General features: G+C 39.9%; 1 protein-coding gene across 3 annotated transcripts in view; it reads left to right on the top strand.

Moving 5' to 3' along the window:
* Positions 1-18,245, top strand: part of ASTN2 (astrotactin 2) — a 991,946-nt gene that overhangs the window by 196,990 nt on the left and 776,711 nt on the right. For all 3 annotated transcript variants that reach the window (NM_014010.5, NM_001365069.1, NM_001365068.1), the window contains exon 3: positions 3,326-3,710. In NM_014010.5, coding sequence (NP_054729.3) covers positions 3,326-3,710 — 385 coding nt within the window. The remainder of the gene's footprint in view (positions 1-3,325; positions 3,711-18,245) is intronic.

Here is an 18,245-nt window from a genome sequence, read left to right as displayed (position 1 = left end):
TGCCTTCTCCACTCCGAGCATGGTTTTAAAGTCATGCTGGAGCTAGTTTGAATCTCAGCTGCTCTATCTTGAGTAAATGACGTTTGTCTCTATGCCTGAGTTTCCAACTTAATGTAGGATGATGATAGGTGTAAAGGTGAATGAAAGAGCACATATCAAACATTTGGTCCAGATTGAAAAGGATTTGGGGATCCAAGGCAAGTTGTGCAGAATAGGTATATAGGGCCAGAAACTCAAGTCATTCATTCCTTCATTCATTCCTTTATTCGTTCAACACAGAATGTATACTTGCTGAATTCTGTTGACAGTAACAGCAGCTAACAACCTATGATACTATGTGCCCCTACCCTATATTAAATACCCCACAAGCATCTTATTTAGCCTTCATGACCCAATGAGGTGGCATTATGACTCTTGTCCTTGTTTAATCCATGAGAAAGCCAAAGATCTAGAAAGATAAAATAAACTGGTCAAGGTCACAGAGTGTCTAAGCAGTAGAACCTGGATAAAATCATGTCAGTCTGATGCCAACACTTAGCCATTTACTACTGGAAGGCTCTCAAGGCAAAGGATACAAGGAAGGAAGAAGGGGCATTAGTAGTTGCAGGTGGATGGGTTGGTTAGGCCTCATCTTTCCTAGGTCAGTATTGGTCCTGGGATCTGACCACAGAGTCCCACAACCATAATCGGGATATACTGAGTGGGATGAGGAATGAAGGCCCAGGAACCATGTAAGACCTTATCCTCTCACTGAATGAAATGCCCAAAGTTGAGAAGACAGAGGGCATGGTCAGGCAAGGAGATTCCCCCAGGGGCATCAATGGGCCAGAATGAAAATCTTCTCTGAAGAGAAGATGCACCCATTGCACATCTGGAGGCTGAATTTGAAAATAATACTTTCCTTTTCCCTTTTCATGCACCCTCACCATCTTTCCTCCTCCTCCCCTTCCCTCTCTTTAGTCAGTGAGAATTGCCGTTCAGTAACCAAGGGCTGTGAAATGGGGAGCTGGGGCCCAGTCACAGCTCCACCACTTCCTGGCCCTTTGAATCCAGCTGGACCTGGAATTAAATCCTGACTGTGTGACTTCAAGCTAGTTACTTACTTCTCTGAGTTACCTTTTCCTCATCTATACAGCATAAACTAATTTCTGTCACATAGTCTTGTCTTAAAGATTAAATAAAAAAACATTCAGTAAAGGTGTTAAGGAGAGGGTCAGCCCTTGTGTTTATCAAGGATTAGTGTTGCCCCCAGCCCTTTCCTCTCTTCACTCTCCCTCTCTATCACCTCTCTCCTCTTCACTCTTCCTCACTCCCTCCCTCTCCTTCTTTTCTTATTTCTGAAACACAAAAAAATCCCAGACAAATAATATCATGTCACACATAATTTTGTGACACAAAGCAATCACTATCATATGTTCTGTAGAGGAAAAAAAAGATTCATTGTTGTTTTTTAAGGTGATATATACATAATCACCTCTGGTATACACATGCATTTACACATATATTTAATAGATTCTACACACACACAAACACACACACACAAATACACACATAAATACACGTACTTATAGCTTTGCTTGATTTGTGCATTTGTTTTTATGTTATGACATCCAGAGAAACTTTCTTGGGGAAACCAAAGTAGCTCACTGCTGAACTCAAGGCAGGGCTTGGGCCCCTGCTACAGAGCTATCAGCCACACCTGCATACCTGGCCACCACCTCTTAGTCCTCTTATCCACCCAGTCCCCCTACCTCTGTGGAGGTGCTGAATTTCAGCATAGTGAGCTGAGGGTCTTGCAAATAGAACATGCCAGTTTTCTAATATCAAATACAGTCAGCAGGATGGCTGACCCATTTCAGCAAACAGTGTTCTTCTTGGTCTAAACAGGTGTGTTTAACAGCAGCCACCTTTGCCCCTAAGATAATGTATTCACAGCTAACATCTGTCATCTTTGTTAGATGCTGTACAGATAGTTGTCAGAATTTGTCCTTGCCTTCAATGAGATCATAGCCAAGGAGAAGCCATCAACCACACAGGTGGATTGAAAGAATATAGGCTCTAGAGTTAAAAAGCAAAAACAAACAAAATAAACACACAAAAAGTAAGGCTCAGATATTACTCTGCCACTTGCTCTCTGAGTTTCTGGGTCTCTTGATTTTTTGAAGCCTCTCTCTACCCTGTATACAACAAGGGTGATTCCTCCTGACTCTAGGGATTACACAGCAGGCATTCAGCAAAGTGTCTTCCAATCTCCCAAACATGAAGCAGAGTATAAAGTGAAGAAAAGCAAGAGAAGTGATGAGGGCCTACCCATCAGAGGAGAGGTTTCTGGCACAGAACAATTGAGGGGAGGCCTGGAGAATGCAAACCCTCAACTTCAAGCTCATGACAGGTGTTATGGGGATTACAGACGTGTTTTGAAAATACCTCTGCCCTGAAGGATCTTACAGACCAGAGTATTTCATGAATCATGTAAGATATGTGCATTAACACATTAGCTTATTTCAAATTAATGTAGGATAATGCAGACTCAAATATTTAGGAGCTGAGTGTATCAAAGAAAAAAATGTATATATATACACATTATATATATATATATCAGTTGACCTTGAAATTCTTATTAAAGGAGCCCTAGAAAGGTACATTTTCATTCACTCATTTACCAAATATTTGTTAAGGACCTACTTTGTCCCAGTTCCCTTATAGAAATTCAGAAATTTAAAGACTGGTGTTTCTGAAAAATGAAGAAAATACAGACTATGCAGACATTATGTTTGATTTAATAATGCTATCTTATATTTGCAGCAAGATGTAAGACAGCCTACTACTGTCTCATGATCTTTCAGTTAACTCATTCTAGAGATGAGGAAGCAAGGCTGGGGGAGCGTAGGCAACTGTCCTTGGGATGCTCAGCTGGTGGGAGATGGAGTCTAGATTCAGACATTCACCTGTGTGAAGCCGCAGCACTGACCCTTCCTGCCACTGAGCTATCTGTATTGCTCTGACATGACCGTTATCCATCTGATTTGCTTCCTATGGCAACCTTGTGAAGAAGGAAGAGCAGGGATTCCTACTCAACCTTTATAACTATGGAAAGCAAGGCTCAGAGAAGTGAAGAAGTTTGCCTAGGGTCACATAGTTTGTTGGTGAAAAAGCCAGGTTTGAAACAATGTCTCTCTAGCTTAAAAACCACGGCTGGTGGTTCCTGAGGCTCTATGAGCCAAACCCAGGGATCCTGGCAGAGTGTAGTGGACAGGAAAATCCCCTGCAGCCCTCGATTCCAAAGAACAGTGGCCCATTTGTGTGTCCTTCCTTCCTGCTCCAGGGTGGCCTCATCGCGCTGCTGCTGCTGCTGCTGGTGTTCACCGTGGCGCTGTACGCCCAGCGACGTTGGCAGAAGCGTCGCCGCATCCCCCAGAAGAGCGCAAGCACAGAAGCCACTCATGAGATCCACTACATCCCATCTGTGCTGCTGGGTCCCCAGGCGCGGGAGAGCTTCCGTTCATCCCGGCTGCAAACCCACAATTCCGTCATTGGCGTGCCCATCCGGGAGACTCCCATCCTGGATGACTATGACTGTGAGGAGGATGAGGAGCCACCTAGGCGGGCCAACCATGTCTCCCGCGAGGACGAGTTTGGCAGCCAGGTGACCCACACTCTGGACAGTCTGGGACATCCAGGGGAAGAGAAGGTGGACTTTGAGAAGAAAGGTGAGTCCTCCATGTCACAGCCCATTTTCCAGGGGGCATTTTGAAAAGATGGGAAGAGGTGCAGAAGCTGGGCAGTTGGGGACTACAGGCAGTGTTTTCTGGGATAAGCCACTTTGGATTTATGGCTTTAGATTTCTGTTGGGTTATCAAGTTTGTCTTCTCTGATTCTTCAGTAGTGATGAGAGAATAAAAGAGTGTCAGTACTCCCAGAATTGGAGTTGTGAGGAGCCTCAGAGGCTATGCAGTCCAACATCTTTCCAGTGTCTCTTGATTACCTCCTTTGACAGCTTTCTCACTACTCGGAAAAGAGGCCATCTCATTTCCACACAATTACTGACTATTAGAGGGTTTCTTCTTATACCAACTTGAAATCTGTGTTCACGGTCCCCCATGTCCAAAAGGAAAGTGATCTGATATTCTTTTTCCAAGGCAGCAGCTCTTGGGAAATTTGACAACACAAATAAAAGAGACTGTACATTTTAAACAACCTAAACACCCCAGTTTCTCTAAATAGTCTCATATAAAGCATTTTTCAGACATTTCACCTTCCTGGTCACTGCCGTCTAGACAGAAATTCTAATTTTTCACATCCTGGGCCATAACACCCAAACTGACACTCTTCTTCCTCAAGGCAGGAATGATCCAGGGCTGAGAAAAATGGGATTTTTGTCTCCTTCTTGCCAACTGTTATACTTCTATTGATGCAGCTTGAGATCCCATTTGTTTGTTACAGTTATTGCTGGCTCATATTAGACTTCTTTTATGTTTTTTTATATTGACAAATAATGTTCGTACATATTTATGGAGTACATAGTGATATTTTGATCCATATGATATATGGTGATCAGATCAGGGTAATTAGTATATCAATCATCTTAAACATTGATCATTTCTTTGCATTGGGAATGTTCAATAAGCTCCTAGTTATTTGAAACTATGTATTACATTAATAAGTAATCTTTAAGTGGTATAGGACACTAGAAATTATTACACCTATCTAGCTGTAATTTTATTTCCTTTAATAAATTTCTCCCTATTCCTGTCTCCCTCCTACCTTTCCCAGCTTCTAATATCCTCTGTATCCTACTAGCAGCCTCGAGCATTCTTTTACTTCTATGAGGTCAATTATTTTCAGCTTCCACATGTGAATAAGAATATGTGACATTTAACTTTCCATTCCTGTCTTATTTTGCTTAATATAATGTTCTTCAGTTCCATCAAGGTCGCCATAAATGAAAGGATTTCATTCTTATTTATGGCTGAATGTATTCCATTGTGTATACATACCACCTTTTCTTTATCTAGTCATCTGTTGTTGGACACCTAGGTTGATTCCATATCTTGACTATTGTGGATAATCCTGCAGTAAGCATGCAGGTGCAGATGTATCTTCAATAAGCTGATTTCCTTTAATTTGGATAAATACCAAGTCATGGGATTGCTAGATATATGGTAGTTCTTTTTGTAGTTTTTAGAGGACCTTCCAAACTGTTCTATATAGTGACTGTACTAGTTTACATTCGCATGACAGTGTATGAGTTTTCTTTTCTCCGCATTCTCACCAGCATTTGTTATTTTTGACTTTTTTATAATAGCCATTCTAACTGAGATGAGATTATACCTCATTGCAGTTTTTGATTTGCATTTACCTGATAATTACTAATAAGGAGCATGTTTTCGTATATTTGTTGGTCACTTGTATGTCTTTTGAGAAATTTCTATTCAGAACAATTTGTCCACTTTTTTATTAGATTGGAGGGTTTTTTTGTTTTTTGTTTTTTTGTTTTTTGTTTTTGCTGTTGGAATGTTTGAGTCTCTTGTATATTCTGGATATTAATTCCCTATTGGATAAATATTTTATGAATATTTTCTCCCATTCTGTAGGTTGTGTTTTCATTCTGTTGTTTCCTTTGCTGTGCAGGAGCTTTTTAGTTTGACATATAATCTTGTCTACTTTTGCTTTTTTTTTCTTTGCCTGTGCTTTTAAGGTCTTACTTACAAAATCTTTTTTCAGACCAATGTCTTGAAGTGTTTCCCCTGTTTTCTTCTAATATGTTTATCATTTCGGGTCTTACATTTAGGTCTTTGATTCATTGTAAATTAATTTTTTATTGGGTAAAAGTGGGGGTCTAATTTCATTCTTCTGCATATGCATATTCAGTTTTCTCAGCATGATTTACTGGAGAGACTGCCATTTCCCTACTAAGCGTTCTTGGCACCTTTGTAAAAAGTCAGTAGACTGTAAATAAATTTCTGGGTTCTCTATTCTGTTACATTCATCTATGTATGTGTCTGTTTTTATGCCAGTACCATACTGCATTTACTTTGCAGTAACTTTGGTTACTACAGCTTTGTAGTATATTTTGAGGTCTGAAAGTGTGATACTTCCAATTTTGTTATTTTTTTCTCAAGATTGCATGAGCATGGGAGGTCTTTTCATTTTTTTGTATCCTCTTCAATTTCTTTCATCAATGTTTTATATTTTTCTTGTAGAGATCTTTTACCTCTTTGGTTACATTGATTTCTATGTATTTTATTGTATTGTTTTATAGCTGTTGTAGATGGGATTTCCTTCTTGGTTTCTTTTTCAGCTAGTTTGTTTATGTATAGAAGTGCTTCTAATTTTTATATGTTGATTTTGCATCCTAGAACTTTTCCGAATTTTTTTATCAGTTAGTTATTAGTCTGTTCTCACACTGCTATAAAGAACTACCTGAGACTGGGTAATTTATAAAGAAAAGAGGTTTAATTGACTCACAATTTCACAGCTATACAGGAGGCACGGTTGGGGAGGCCTCAGGAAACTTACAGTAATGGCAAAAGAGCGACAGGGAAGCAAGCACCTTCTTCACATGGCACAGCAGGAGAGAGAGAGAGCAATGGGAGAAGTGCTAAACACTTTTAAACAAACAGATCTCGTGAGAACTCACTCACTATCCCAATAACAGCAAAAGGGAAATCTACCCCCATGACCCAGTCACCTCCCACCACCAGTTCTCTCCCCCAACCTTGGGGATTATAATTGAACATGAGATTTGGGTGAAGACACAGAGCCAAACCATATCACATTTCTAAGACGTTTAGGTAGACTCTTTAGGTTTTTCTGGGAATAAGATAAGAGAATTTGACTTCCTCCTTTCCAATTTGGATGTTTGTCATTTCTTTCTGTTGCCTAATTGCTCTGGCTAGGAAATCTAGTATTGTGTTTGACAAGAATGATTAGAGTGGACATTTTTGTCTTGTTTGGTAAGATGTTAGCTGTGGATTTGTCATATATGGCCTTTATTATGTTGAGGTATTTTCTTTCTGTGACTAATTTATTAAGAGTTTTTATCACGAGGAGATATTTAAAATTTCAAAAGCTTTTTTTTTTTTTGCTTTGAGATGATCATATGGTTTTTTTTCCATCATTCTATTGATTGTCCTTCATTCTATTGATGTGAAATATGTTTATTGATTTGCATATATTATCCTTGCATACCTGGGATAAATACCACTTGATCATGGTGTATTATCTTTTTGACATGTTGGATTCAGTTTTTTAGTACTTTGAGGATTTTTGCATATATTTTCATCAGGGATATTGACCTGTAGTTTTCTTTTTGTGTGTGTGTCCTTGTTTGGTTTTAGTATCAGGGTGATGCATGTCTTGTAGAATGAATTAGAAAGAATTCCCTCTGCTTCAATGTTTTGAAATAGTTTTGGGAGAATTGTTATTAATTCTTCTTTATACATTCAGCAGAATTGAGTGGTGAAGCCATCTGGTCCTGTACTTTTCTTTGTTGGAAGGCTTTTTATTATTGACTCAGTCTCATTACTTGTTTTGGTCTGTTAAGGTTTTCCATTTCTTTGTGGTTCAATTTTGTTGAGTTCTGTGTGTCCAGAAATTTATCCATTTTCTCTGTTTTCAAATTTATTGACCTATAGCTGTTCATAATAGCCTTTGACTTTGTATTTATTTGTATCATTTTGTATTTCTGTGATATCCATTGTGATGTCTCCCTTTTCATTTCCGATTTTATTTATGTGAGTGTTCTCTCCTTTTATCTTAGTTTGTCTAGCTATTAGTTCATCAATTTTGTTTATCTTTTAAAAAACAACTTTGTGTTTTATTGATCTTTTGTTCCTTTTAGTCTTTTTGCTTATTTTTGCTCTGATCTATTTCTTTCATTCTACTAATTTGGGGTTTGATTTCTTCTTGCTTTCCTATATCCTTGAGGTGCATTAATAGGTTATTGATTTGAAATCTTTCTAGTTCTTTGATATAAGCATTTATTACTATAAATTTGCCTCTTAATACTGCTTTTGCTGTGTTCCATGGATTTTGGTATGCTGTGTTTCTGTTTTCATTTGTTTCAAGGAATTTTCAAATTTTATTCTTAATTTCTTCCTTCACTCATTGGTCATTCAGGAGCATCTTATTTAATCTCCTTGTATTTGTATAGTTATGAATATTCCTGTTGTCATTGATATCTAGTTTTATTCCACTGTGGTCAGATAAGATATTTGATACAATTTCAGTGTTTTAAAATTTTCTGAGATTTGTTTTGTGCTCTAACGTATGGCTAATCCTGGAGAATGTCCCATGTGCTGATGAAAAGAATCTTGCCCTTTGCAGCTGCTGGGTGAAATATTATGTAATTGTCTATCACATCCATTTGGTCTATAGTGAAGTTTAAATATGATCTTTCTTTGTTGACTTTCTGTCTAGATGATCTGTCCAATACTGAGAATAAAATGTTGAGGTCCCCAATTATTATTTTACTGGAGTCTGTCTCTCCCTTTAGATCTAGTAATATTTACTTTATGTATCAGGATGTTCTGGTGTTTAGTGTAAATATATTTACAATTGTTATATTCTCTTGCTGTATTGATCTCTTTATTATCATATAATATCCTTCATTGTCTATTTTTACAGCATTGAATTGAAGCCTGTTTAGTCTGATATAATTCCAGCTACTTGTTCTCACTTTTGGCTTACATTTGCATTTAGTATATTTTTCCGTTCCTTCACTTTCATTCTATGTTTGTCTTTACAGGAAAAGTGAATTTCCTAATAGGCAGTATATAGTTTTGTCTTATTTTTTCATCCTTTTGTCCTGTTTATATATTCTTAATGGGGAATTTAGTTCATTTATAATAATTGTTATTGTTGATAGGTGGGAACTAATCAGTGTTTCACTGAGTGTTTTCTGGTTGTTTTGTGTATTCTTTGTTTCTTACTTTCTCTCTTATTATTTTTGCAGTTGGGTGGTTTTCTGTAGTGATAAGGTTTGATTCCTTTCTCTTTCAAAAAATATATTGGCTCTACCAGTGAGTTGTATAGTTTTGCATATTTTCATGATCATAGTTGTTATCTTTTCACTTCCAGTTGTAAGACTTCACTGAGCATTTCTTGTAAAGCCAGCCTAGTGCTGATGAATTCCATTAGTTTCCATATGCCTGTAACAGATTTTATTTCTTCTTCATTTCTGAAGGATAACTTTGCTAGGTACAGTATTCCTGACTGACAGTTATTTCCTTGCAGGGCTTGGAATATGTCATCTCATTCTCTCCTGGCTGAGAAATCCACTGTTACTTTAATGAAAATTCCCTTTTATGTGACCTGACTTTTTTCTCTTGCTGATTTTGTTTATTTATTTTTTTTGTCATTGACTTTCAACAACTTGACTGTAAGATGCCTTGAAGAAGATCTGTTTGGGTTTAACCTATCTGGTTTCCTGGACCTTGATGTCCATCTCTCTCCCAAGACGTTGGAATATTTTTTTGCTATTATTTCATTAAATATATTTTCATCACCTTTTCACTTGTTCTTCTGAAACACCCCTAATATGAATATTTTTCACTTACTTGAGGCTTTCTTTTTTTTGTATTATTTATTCTTTCTTTTCTTTTCTTTTTGACTCCTTGTGTTATTTCAAAATATCTGTCTTCAAGTTTAGATTTTTTTTTCTGCTTGCCCTAGTCTATTGTTGAAGCTCTTGATTCATATGTTTACTTTCTTCATTGAATTCTTTAGCTCTTTGTTCCTGTTTGGTTCTTTTTTATGGTATCTATCTCTTTGTTGAATGTATCATGTAAATCATGAATCATTTTCTTGATATAGTTAAATTGACTATCTTTCTTCTCTTATACCTCACTGAGTTTATTTAAAATTATTATTTAATTTTTTTGGCAGTTCATGTATTTTATTATGATCAGGGTCTGCTGCTAGCAAATTATTGTTTTCCTTTTACAGTGACATGTTTCCTTGATTTTTCATGTTTGATGTGTCCCTATGTTGATTTCTTAGCATGTGGTAGAAAAATTATTACTTCTGATTTTATTGAGTAGGTTTCATAAGGAAAGACTTATTTGTATAACTTGGTCTTGAGGTGTTAGTTTGGTGTGTTGTGCTGTCCTGGATTTTAGTTAGATGCAATACTAGAGTTTCTATGTAGTTAAATTGGCTACAATTTTACATTAGTGACATTTGTAAGATACTCAGTGACCTAGGCTGAGAGAGTTTGTGGTGATGGTGGTGCAGCTTTGCCAGGATTGGGCTCACTGGGCTATTTCTCAGAACAGGGGGATGTTCATGCAGCTTGGGGTCTGATTCCCTGATATTAGGGCCATGGGGCTGTTCCTCTGGCCAGGAGCAAGGGCACGTGGTATCTCAGCTGGCCTGGGGGCGTACCTGCCAGGAGCTGCTCAAAGGGATGTTTCTCAGGCTCAGAATGTGGGAGTATAGCTTTTCAGCTGGCCTGGGGATATTTCTACCAGGGGCAGCTCATAGGGATGTTTCTTAGGCCTGGGACATGGGCATAAGTTTGCTCAGTTGGTCTAGGTGTGTATCTGCCAGGAGCTGCCTTTGAAACAGTTTCTTAGGCCTGCTATGTGGGTGTATGGCTGCTTGGCTGGCCTGAAAATGTGTCTGAGGGGGACAACCCACAGGGCCATTTCTCCAGCTTGAGACATGGGCATGCAGTGGCCTGAACAGCCTGGGTGGGCATGGCTACCATGGGTGGGTACAGGGCTGTTTGTCAGGCCCACGATATAACTGCACAGTTGCTTGGCTGGTTTGGGGCGTTTCTGTGGGTGGTGGCCCACAGGACTCTTTTGGACCTGGGACATGGCCATATAGCTGCTCATCCAACCTGTGGGCATATCTGCCCAAGGGGCTGTTTCTCAGGTCTGGAATATAAGTACAAGGCTGCTTGGCTGGCTCAGGTGTGTGCCCACCAGGAGCAGCCTGCAGGGCTGTTTCATGCCTGGTATGTAGGTGCGCAGCTGCCTGGCCAGCCTAGGGAATGTCCACAAGGAGTGGCTGATGGGGCTGTTCAGGTTCAGGACATGGGCTGTTGGCTGCTTGGCTGTTCTGGTGGTATGCCCACCAGGGCTGTCCTGTGGGACAGTTTCTCATGCTCTTTTAGGGGGCGTAGAACTATTAGGCAGGCCAGGGATATATCTGTAGTGGGTGGGGGCACTCTGGAGCCAGTTCTCAGGTCCTGTGCATAGGCATGCAGCCATTCTGCTGCCCTGGAGTTATATCAGCTGCTTGGAGGCTCAGAGGCTTCTCCCACTTGAGGGTGGGTGAGCAGTGGTTTGGCTGGCTCAAGGCAGGATAGCTGTGGGTGGGACCGTTATACTGTTTCTCTGGCTGGAAGTAGGGTAGTGGGGGTTGGTTTCTCTGCTCTGTAGGACAAGAGTCACAGCCAGTTTTAGGCCCAAGCTCTGTAAAGCTGGGCTTGTGACATTCAGCCACCCGTGTGGGCTTGGGGTAATGAAGATGGAGCCCCATTGCTGGAGAGGTGCCATGGCTATTGGCCCCCAAAGCAGGGCACACTCATGAGGTGTGTACCGTGCTGCAGCAACTTGGCTCACATGGTGGGTGGAAGTGAGAAGTACACATGCTGTGCTTCTAATCCAGGACAGTGCAGCTGTATAAATTCTTGGTGGCTCTTTAAACTGGGCTCAGGGCTTGTGAGGACTGTGGAATTCTCCTGTAGTAGGGACTGTAGGTGTTTGTGGTAGCAATGGGGTCGGATAGAGATCTTCTGCTTATCTTTTCCCCACAGTGAGAAGTTTCTCCTGACTCTAGGCAAATCTAATCCAGGCCAGGGGGATGGTGCTTCAGAGGCTGGGTGACTCTACATTGCCCTCATGGACTTCCTGTCACCACAGATGCTTCTCCACTCTTCTGCTGCATTTCGGTGCTCTGCCTTCGACGACACTCAGGTCAAATCCTAGCTGTTTATTCATTGCTTTGGTCCTTTCTTGTTGGAATATAAATGCCAGGTGTCTCTTATCATGCATCTTGCTGACATCACTCCCCTCACATTGGACTTTTTGATGACTAATACCTCTTGCTCCTTTTCACATATGTTGTTGCAAAGACCCATTTCCTTTGTTTTGTTTGGGGACAATTGATTATTTGGACATAAGCACAGGATGTGTTTACATTTGCCTTTACTGTCTATCGTTGAGCTTGTTTACAGATGGAATTTAGCTATTTTCCTTTAGACAAATGCAACAAAGGCACAGTTCTTCTTTATCTCTTCATTCCTTGTGAGGCTGATGATGATAACGGGTGAAAGCTTTGGGCTGGAGATCCCGGTTCAGACACCGACCGCTACTTTTGAGAGCCTAAAGAAAGCCTTATTTTTTAGTTTGGCCCCTTCCCTGGAGCTCTGGGTTCTGCATTCTTCTTTTCTACTCCTGAGATTCTCCTCTGAGGCCCATCTTTCCTTGATGCTCAGTGGACAAACAGAAAAAGTCGGGGGGCTTTTTAAAAAGTAGGTTTTTTTTTCAATCCTAGAAACTCAGGGAGAAAGTAGAGTGATAATGTAGATGAGAGTATAGATTTTGAAGTCATCTGGACCTGGGTTCAAATCTTGTCCCATTTACTTATAGTGTGATCTTGGGAAACTGGGAATGTAACACTCTTGGCTTCAGTTTCCTCCTTGAAGGGTTAATGGGAGGATTAGATATAAAAATAAAAGATGTGTAAAATACCTACCCCATGACTTGGCACGTGGTAAGTCTTGAACCCCAAGATGTGTATGTGTAGACCTCAGTCCTTCAGTTTTAGCTGGACTTCTGAGATTCTCTCAAATCCAGCTGTAATATTTATCTCCAGCTTTCCTTCAAGCTCTAGCCACCATGATATGCTCACTGCTCTGGAATGCTTTGAATATTCCCCTTGTCCATCATAGGCTCTTCTGTGTTTGAACTGCTGGTTTATTGTCACTACCCCCATTTGTTTGCCTTCTCAAATGTTATTTATCATTTTCATGTGATTTCTCATCTTACAACAAGGACAGTCTGCATTTATTTTATTTCTCTGTATCCTGCAATGCCCAGCACAGTGCCTCCCACATAGACAGTGCCCAGTGAAGGTCAGACAATAAATATGGCCTTGAAAGGGTAAGGATGTTCATTTGGCAGTAATACCAGCAGGCCAAAACATCATGCTTCCTTTGTCTAAAAGAAAATCACTTAGATAAGGCAGAAAACATCTTCCTATATATTTTAGTTTTGGCTTTTGCAGCATAACTCATTGAGCATTGCTGTCCTTATATGGAAAATGCTTTTATTTTCTTTTTGTTGTTGTTTGTTTGGTTTTTTTTAACAGCCAGTCTTCCCAGGTCATAGATTTGCTGTGGGTATCCAATGATAAATGAACTCCAAATGCTGGAGGAGTTTTCCTAGCCCCTAATCAGTTTCTACATCAGTTATCTTCCTCAACCCAACCCAAATGAGTAATCTACTCCCTCTTCCAGCTCTTAAAGCTGGTTGTGATTACTTTGAACTGACCACTTCCCACACTGTACAAAAATAATCAGTTTCTCTTTCTGTCTGCTAAGCTAGACTTAGAGATCTTTGAGAGAGAGTACAGTGTCCTTTATCTTTGTTTTTGTAGCATCCAGCATAGTGGCTAACACTTCATAGTAGGCACTCTGAAAATGCCTGTTGGCTAAGTGATTGATCCATCAGTTGATCAATCAAGATAAATCAAGGCAGCCAGGGACAGTGGCTCATGCCTGTAATCTCAGCCTTTGGGAGGCTGAGGCAGGTGGATCACATGAGGCCAGGAGTTCCAGACCAGCCTGGCCGAAATGGAAAAACCCTGTCTCTACTAAAAATCCAAAAATACACAAAAATTTTTGTGGAGCCAGGGAGGCTACACAGCTTGGTCCCAAGACTTGTCCCCACAGCCCAACACACCGGCAATGGCAGTAGGCGGCCACAGTGCCTGTTCAGGTGTAACCCTGACCCATCCTTCCTCAGTGGGTGGGGCTTCCCTGTAGGATCTCCAATAACTCCAGCCAGAGGCTCTGGGACAGAATTCAGATCTCCCTGGACCTGAACCCCTGGGGAGTGTGGTGGCCACATTCTCTGTGGACCAGCAGACTTAGCCTCTCCTTCTGGTAGTTCTGATGAATCCGGGCAGCCCAGAACAGTGGGTTTCCCCTCAGAAAAACACACCCTCTCCACCAAGGCACAAAGTGCTTCATTAAATGAGCCCTTCTCTCCATGCCATCCAACTGGATGAGGCCCTCCAACAGGGGTTGTCAGATACCCTATGCAGGAGCGAACCTACTGGCATCAGGTTGGTGCCTCTCAAGGTCAGAGGTCCCAGAGGTAGGAACAGGCATCCATCTTTGCTGCTCTCCAGACTCCTTGAGTGACATCTCCAGGCACAGGAGTGAATCAGATGAATGGGGCCTGAAGTGAACTCCCAGCAAACTGCAGCAGCTCTACGGAAGAAGGACCTGACTATTGAAAGAAAAACAAACAAGCAGAAAGCAACAACAGCATCATCCACAACAACAACAACAACAACAAAGGCCCCCACAAAAACCCCATCCAAGGGTCAGCAGCCTCAAAGACTAAAACTAGACAAACTCATGAAGATGAGAAATAATCAATGAAAAAATGCTAAAAACCCAAAAGAGCAGAGCGCCTCTTCTCCTCAACATGATCACCACATCTGTCTATCAAGGGCCTAGAACTGGACAGAGGATCAAATGGATGAATTGACAGAGTAGGCTTCAGAAGATGGGTAATAAAAAACCATGATGAGCTAAAGGAGCATGTTCTAACACAATGCAAAGAAGCTAAGAATCTTGAGAAGAGGTTAGAGGAATTGCTAACTAGAGTAACCAGTTTAGAGAAGAAGATAAATGACCTGATGGAGCTGAAAAACATAGCATAAGAACTTAGTGAATTATACACAAGTATCAACAGCCAAATCAACCAAGCAGAAGAAAGGATATCAGAGTTTGATGACAACCTTACTGAAATAAGACATGCAGACAAGAATAGAGATAAAAGAACAAAAAAGAATTAACAAAGCCTGCACGAAATGTGGTACTTCATAAAAAGACCAAACCTACAATTGATTGGAGTACCAGAAGGAGACAGGAAAAATGGAAAGAAGCTGGAAAAGACACCTCAGGATATATATTCAGGAGAACTTCCCCAACCTAGCAAGACATGCTAGCATGCAAATTCAGGAAATACGGAGAACATGATTAAGATGCTCCACGAGAAGATCAACCCCAAGACACATAATCATCAGATTTTCCAAGTTGGAATGAAGGAAAAACTGTTAAGGGCAGCCAGAGAGAAAGGCCAGGTCACCTACAAAGGGAAGCCCATCAGAATAACAGTGGGCCTCTCAGCAGAAACTCTACAAGCCAGAAGAGATTGGGGGCCAATATTCAACATTCTTAAAGAATTTTCAACCCAGAATTTCATATCTAGCCAAACTAAGCTTCATAAGCAAAGGACAAAGAAAATCTTTTCCAGACAAGCAAATGCTGTGGGATTTCATTACCACCAGGCCTGCCCTGCAACAGCTCCTGAAAGAAGCACTAAATATGAAAGGAAAAACTCGTACCAGGCACTGCAAAAATACACCAAAATATGAAGACCGATGACAATATGAAGAAACTGCATCAACTACTGTGCAAAATAACCAAATAGCATTATGACGACAGGATCAAATTCACACATAACGATACTAACTCTAAATATAAATGGACTAAATGCCCCAATTAAAAGACACAGGCTGGCAAATTGGTTGAGGAGTCAAGACCCATCAGTGTACTATATTCAGGAGACCCATCTCATGTTCAAAGACACACACAGGCTTAAAATAAAGGGATGGAGGAAGATTTACCAAGCAAATGGAAAACAAAAAAAGGCAGGGATTGCAATCCTACTCTCTGACAAAACAGACTTTAAACCAACAAAGATCAAAAAAGACAAGGAAGGGCATTACATAATGGTAACAGGAAGAATTCAACAAGAAGAGCTAACTATTCTGAATATATATGCACCCAATACAGGAGCACCCAGATTCATAAAACAAGTTCTTAGAGACCTATGATGAGACTTAGACTCCCACACAATAATAGTGGGAGAATTTAACACCCCACTGTTAGTATTAGACAGATCAACGAGACAGAAAATTAACAAGGATATTCAGGACTTGAACTCAGCTCTGGATCAAGTGGACCTAGTAGACGTCTACAGAATTCTGTACCCCAAATCAGCAGAATATACATTCTTCTCAGTGCCACATGACACTTATTCTAAAATCAACCACATTATTGAAAGTAAAACACTCCTCAGCAAATGCAAAAGAACTGAAATCATAACAAACAGTCTCTCTCACCACAGTGCAATCAAATTAGAACTCAGGATTAAGAAACTCACTCAAAACCACACATTTTCATGGAAATTGAACAACCTGCTCCTGAATGACTCCTGGATAAATAATGAAATTAAGGCAGAAATCAAGAAGTTCTTTGAAACCAATGAGAACAAAAAGACAACATACCAGAATCTCTGGGACACAGCTAAAGCAGTGTTAAGAGAGAAATTTATAGCACTAAATGCCCACATCAGAAAGCTAGAAAGATCTCAGATTGACACCCTAACATCACAATTAAAAGAGCTAGAGAGCCAAGAGCAAACTAAAATCAGAGAAGAATTGAAGGAGATAGAGACATGAAAAACCCTCCAAAAACTGAACGAATCCAGAGGCTGGTTTTTTGAAAAAATTAACAAAATAGATAGACTGCTAGCTAGACTAATGAAGAACAGAGAGAAGAATCAAATAGACACAATAAAAAATGATAAAGAGGATATCACCACTGACCCCATATAAATACAAACTACTGTCAGAGAATACCATAAATACCTCTATGGAAATAAACTAGAAAATCTAGAAGAAATGAATAAATTCCTGGATGCATACACCCTACAAAGACTATACCAGGAAGAAGTTGAATCCCAGAATAGACCAATAACAAGCTCTGAAATTGAGGCAGTAATTAATAACCAACCAACCAAAAAAAAAAAAAAAAAAAGCCCAGGACCAGATGGTTTCATAGCTGAATTCTATCAGAAATACAAAGAGGAGCTGGTACCATTCCTTCTGAAACTATTCCAAACAATTGAAAAGGAGGGACTCCTTCCTAACTCATTTTATGAAGCCAGTATCATCCTGATACCAAAACTGGGAAGAGACACAACAAAGAAAGAAAACTTCAGGCCAATATCCCTGATGAACATCGATGCAAAAATCCTCAATAAAATACTGGTGAACTGAATCCAGCAGCACGTCAAAAAACTTATCCACCATGATTAAGTCGGCTTCATCCCTGAGATGCAAGGATGGTTCAACATATGAAAATTAATAAATGTAATCTATTACATAAACAGAACTAAAGACAAAAACCACATGATTATCTCAATAGATGCAGAAAAGGCCTTTGATAAAATTCAACATCCCTTCATGTTAAAAACTCTCAATAAACTAGATATTGATGGAACATATGTCAAAATAATAACAGGTATTTATGACAAACCCACAGCCAATATCATATTGAATGGGAAAAGCTGGAAGCATTCCCTTTGAAAACCAGTAGAAGGCAAGGATGCCCTCTCTCACCACTCCTATTTAACATAGTATTATAAGTTCTGGCCAGGACAATCAGGCAAGAGAAAGAAATAAAGGGTATTCAGATAGGAAGAGAAGAAGTCAAGTTGTCTCTGTTTGCAGATGACATAATTTTATATTTAGAAAACCCCATCGAACATCACACACCGGGGACTGTTGTTGGGTAGGGGGAGGGGGGAGGGATAGCATTAGGAGTTATATCTAATGCTAAATGACGAGTTAATGGGTGAAGCACACCAACATGGCACATGTATACATATGTAACAAACCTGCACATTGCGCACATGTACCCTAAAACTTAAAGTATAATAATAATAAAATTTAAAAAATAATAATAATAAAAAAAAGAAAACTCCATCATCTCAGCCCCAAAACTTCTTGAACTGATAAGCAATGTCAGCAAAGTCTCAGGATACAAAGTCAATGTGCAAAAATCACAAGCATTCCTTTACATGAATAGGCAAGCAGAAAGCCAAATCATGAATGAACTCCCATTCAAAAAGAATAAAACTCCCATGCAAAGAGAATAAAATACCTAGGAATACAGCTAAGAAGGGATGTGAAGGACCTCTTTAAGGAGA

This window comes from Homo sapiens, chromosome 9 (genome assembly GCF_000001405.40).
Source record: "Homo sapiens chromosome 9, GRCh38.p14 Primary Assembly".
Classification (NCBI taxonomy): Eukaryota; Metazoa; Chordata; class Mammalia; order Primates; family Hominidae; genus Homo; species Homo sapiens.
The sequence above is the reverse complement of the archived record's forward strand: the minus strand, read 5'-3'. Positions and strand labels throughout refer to the sequence as shown.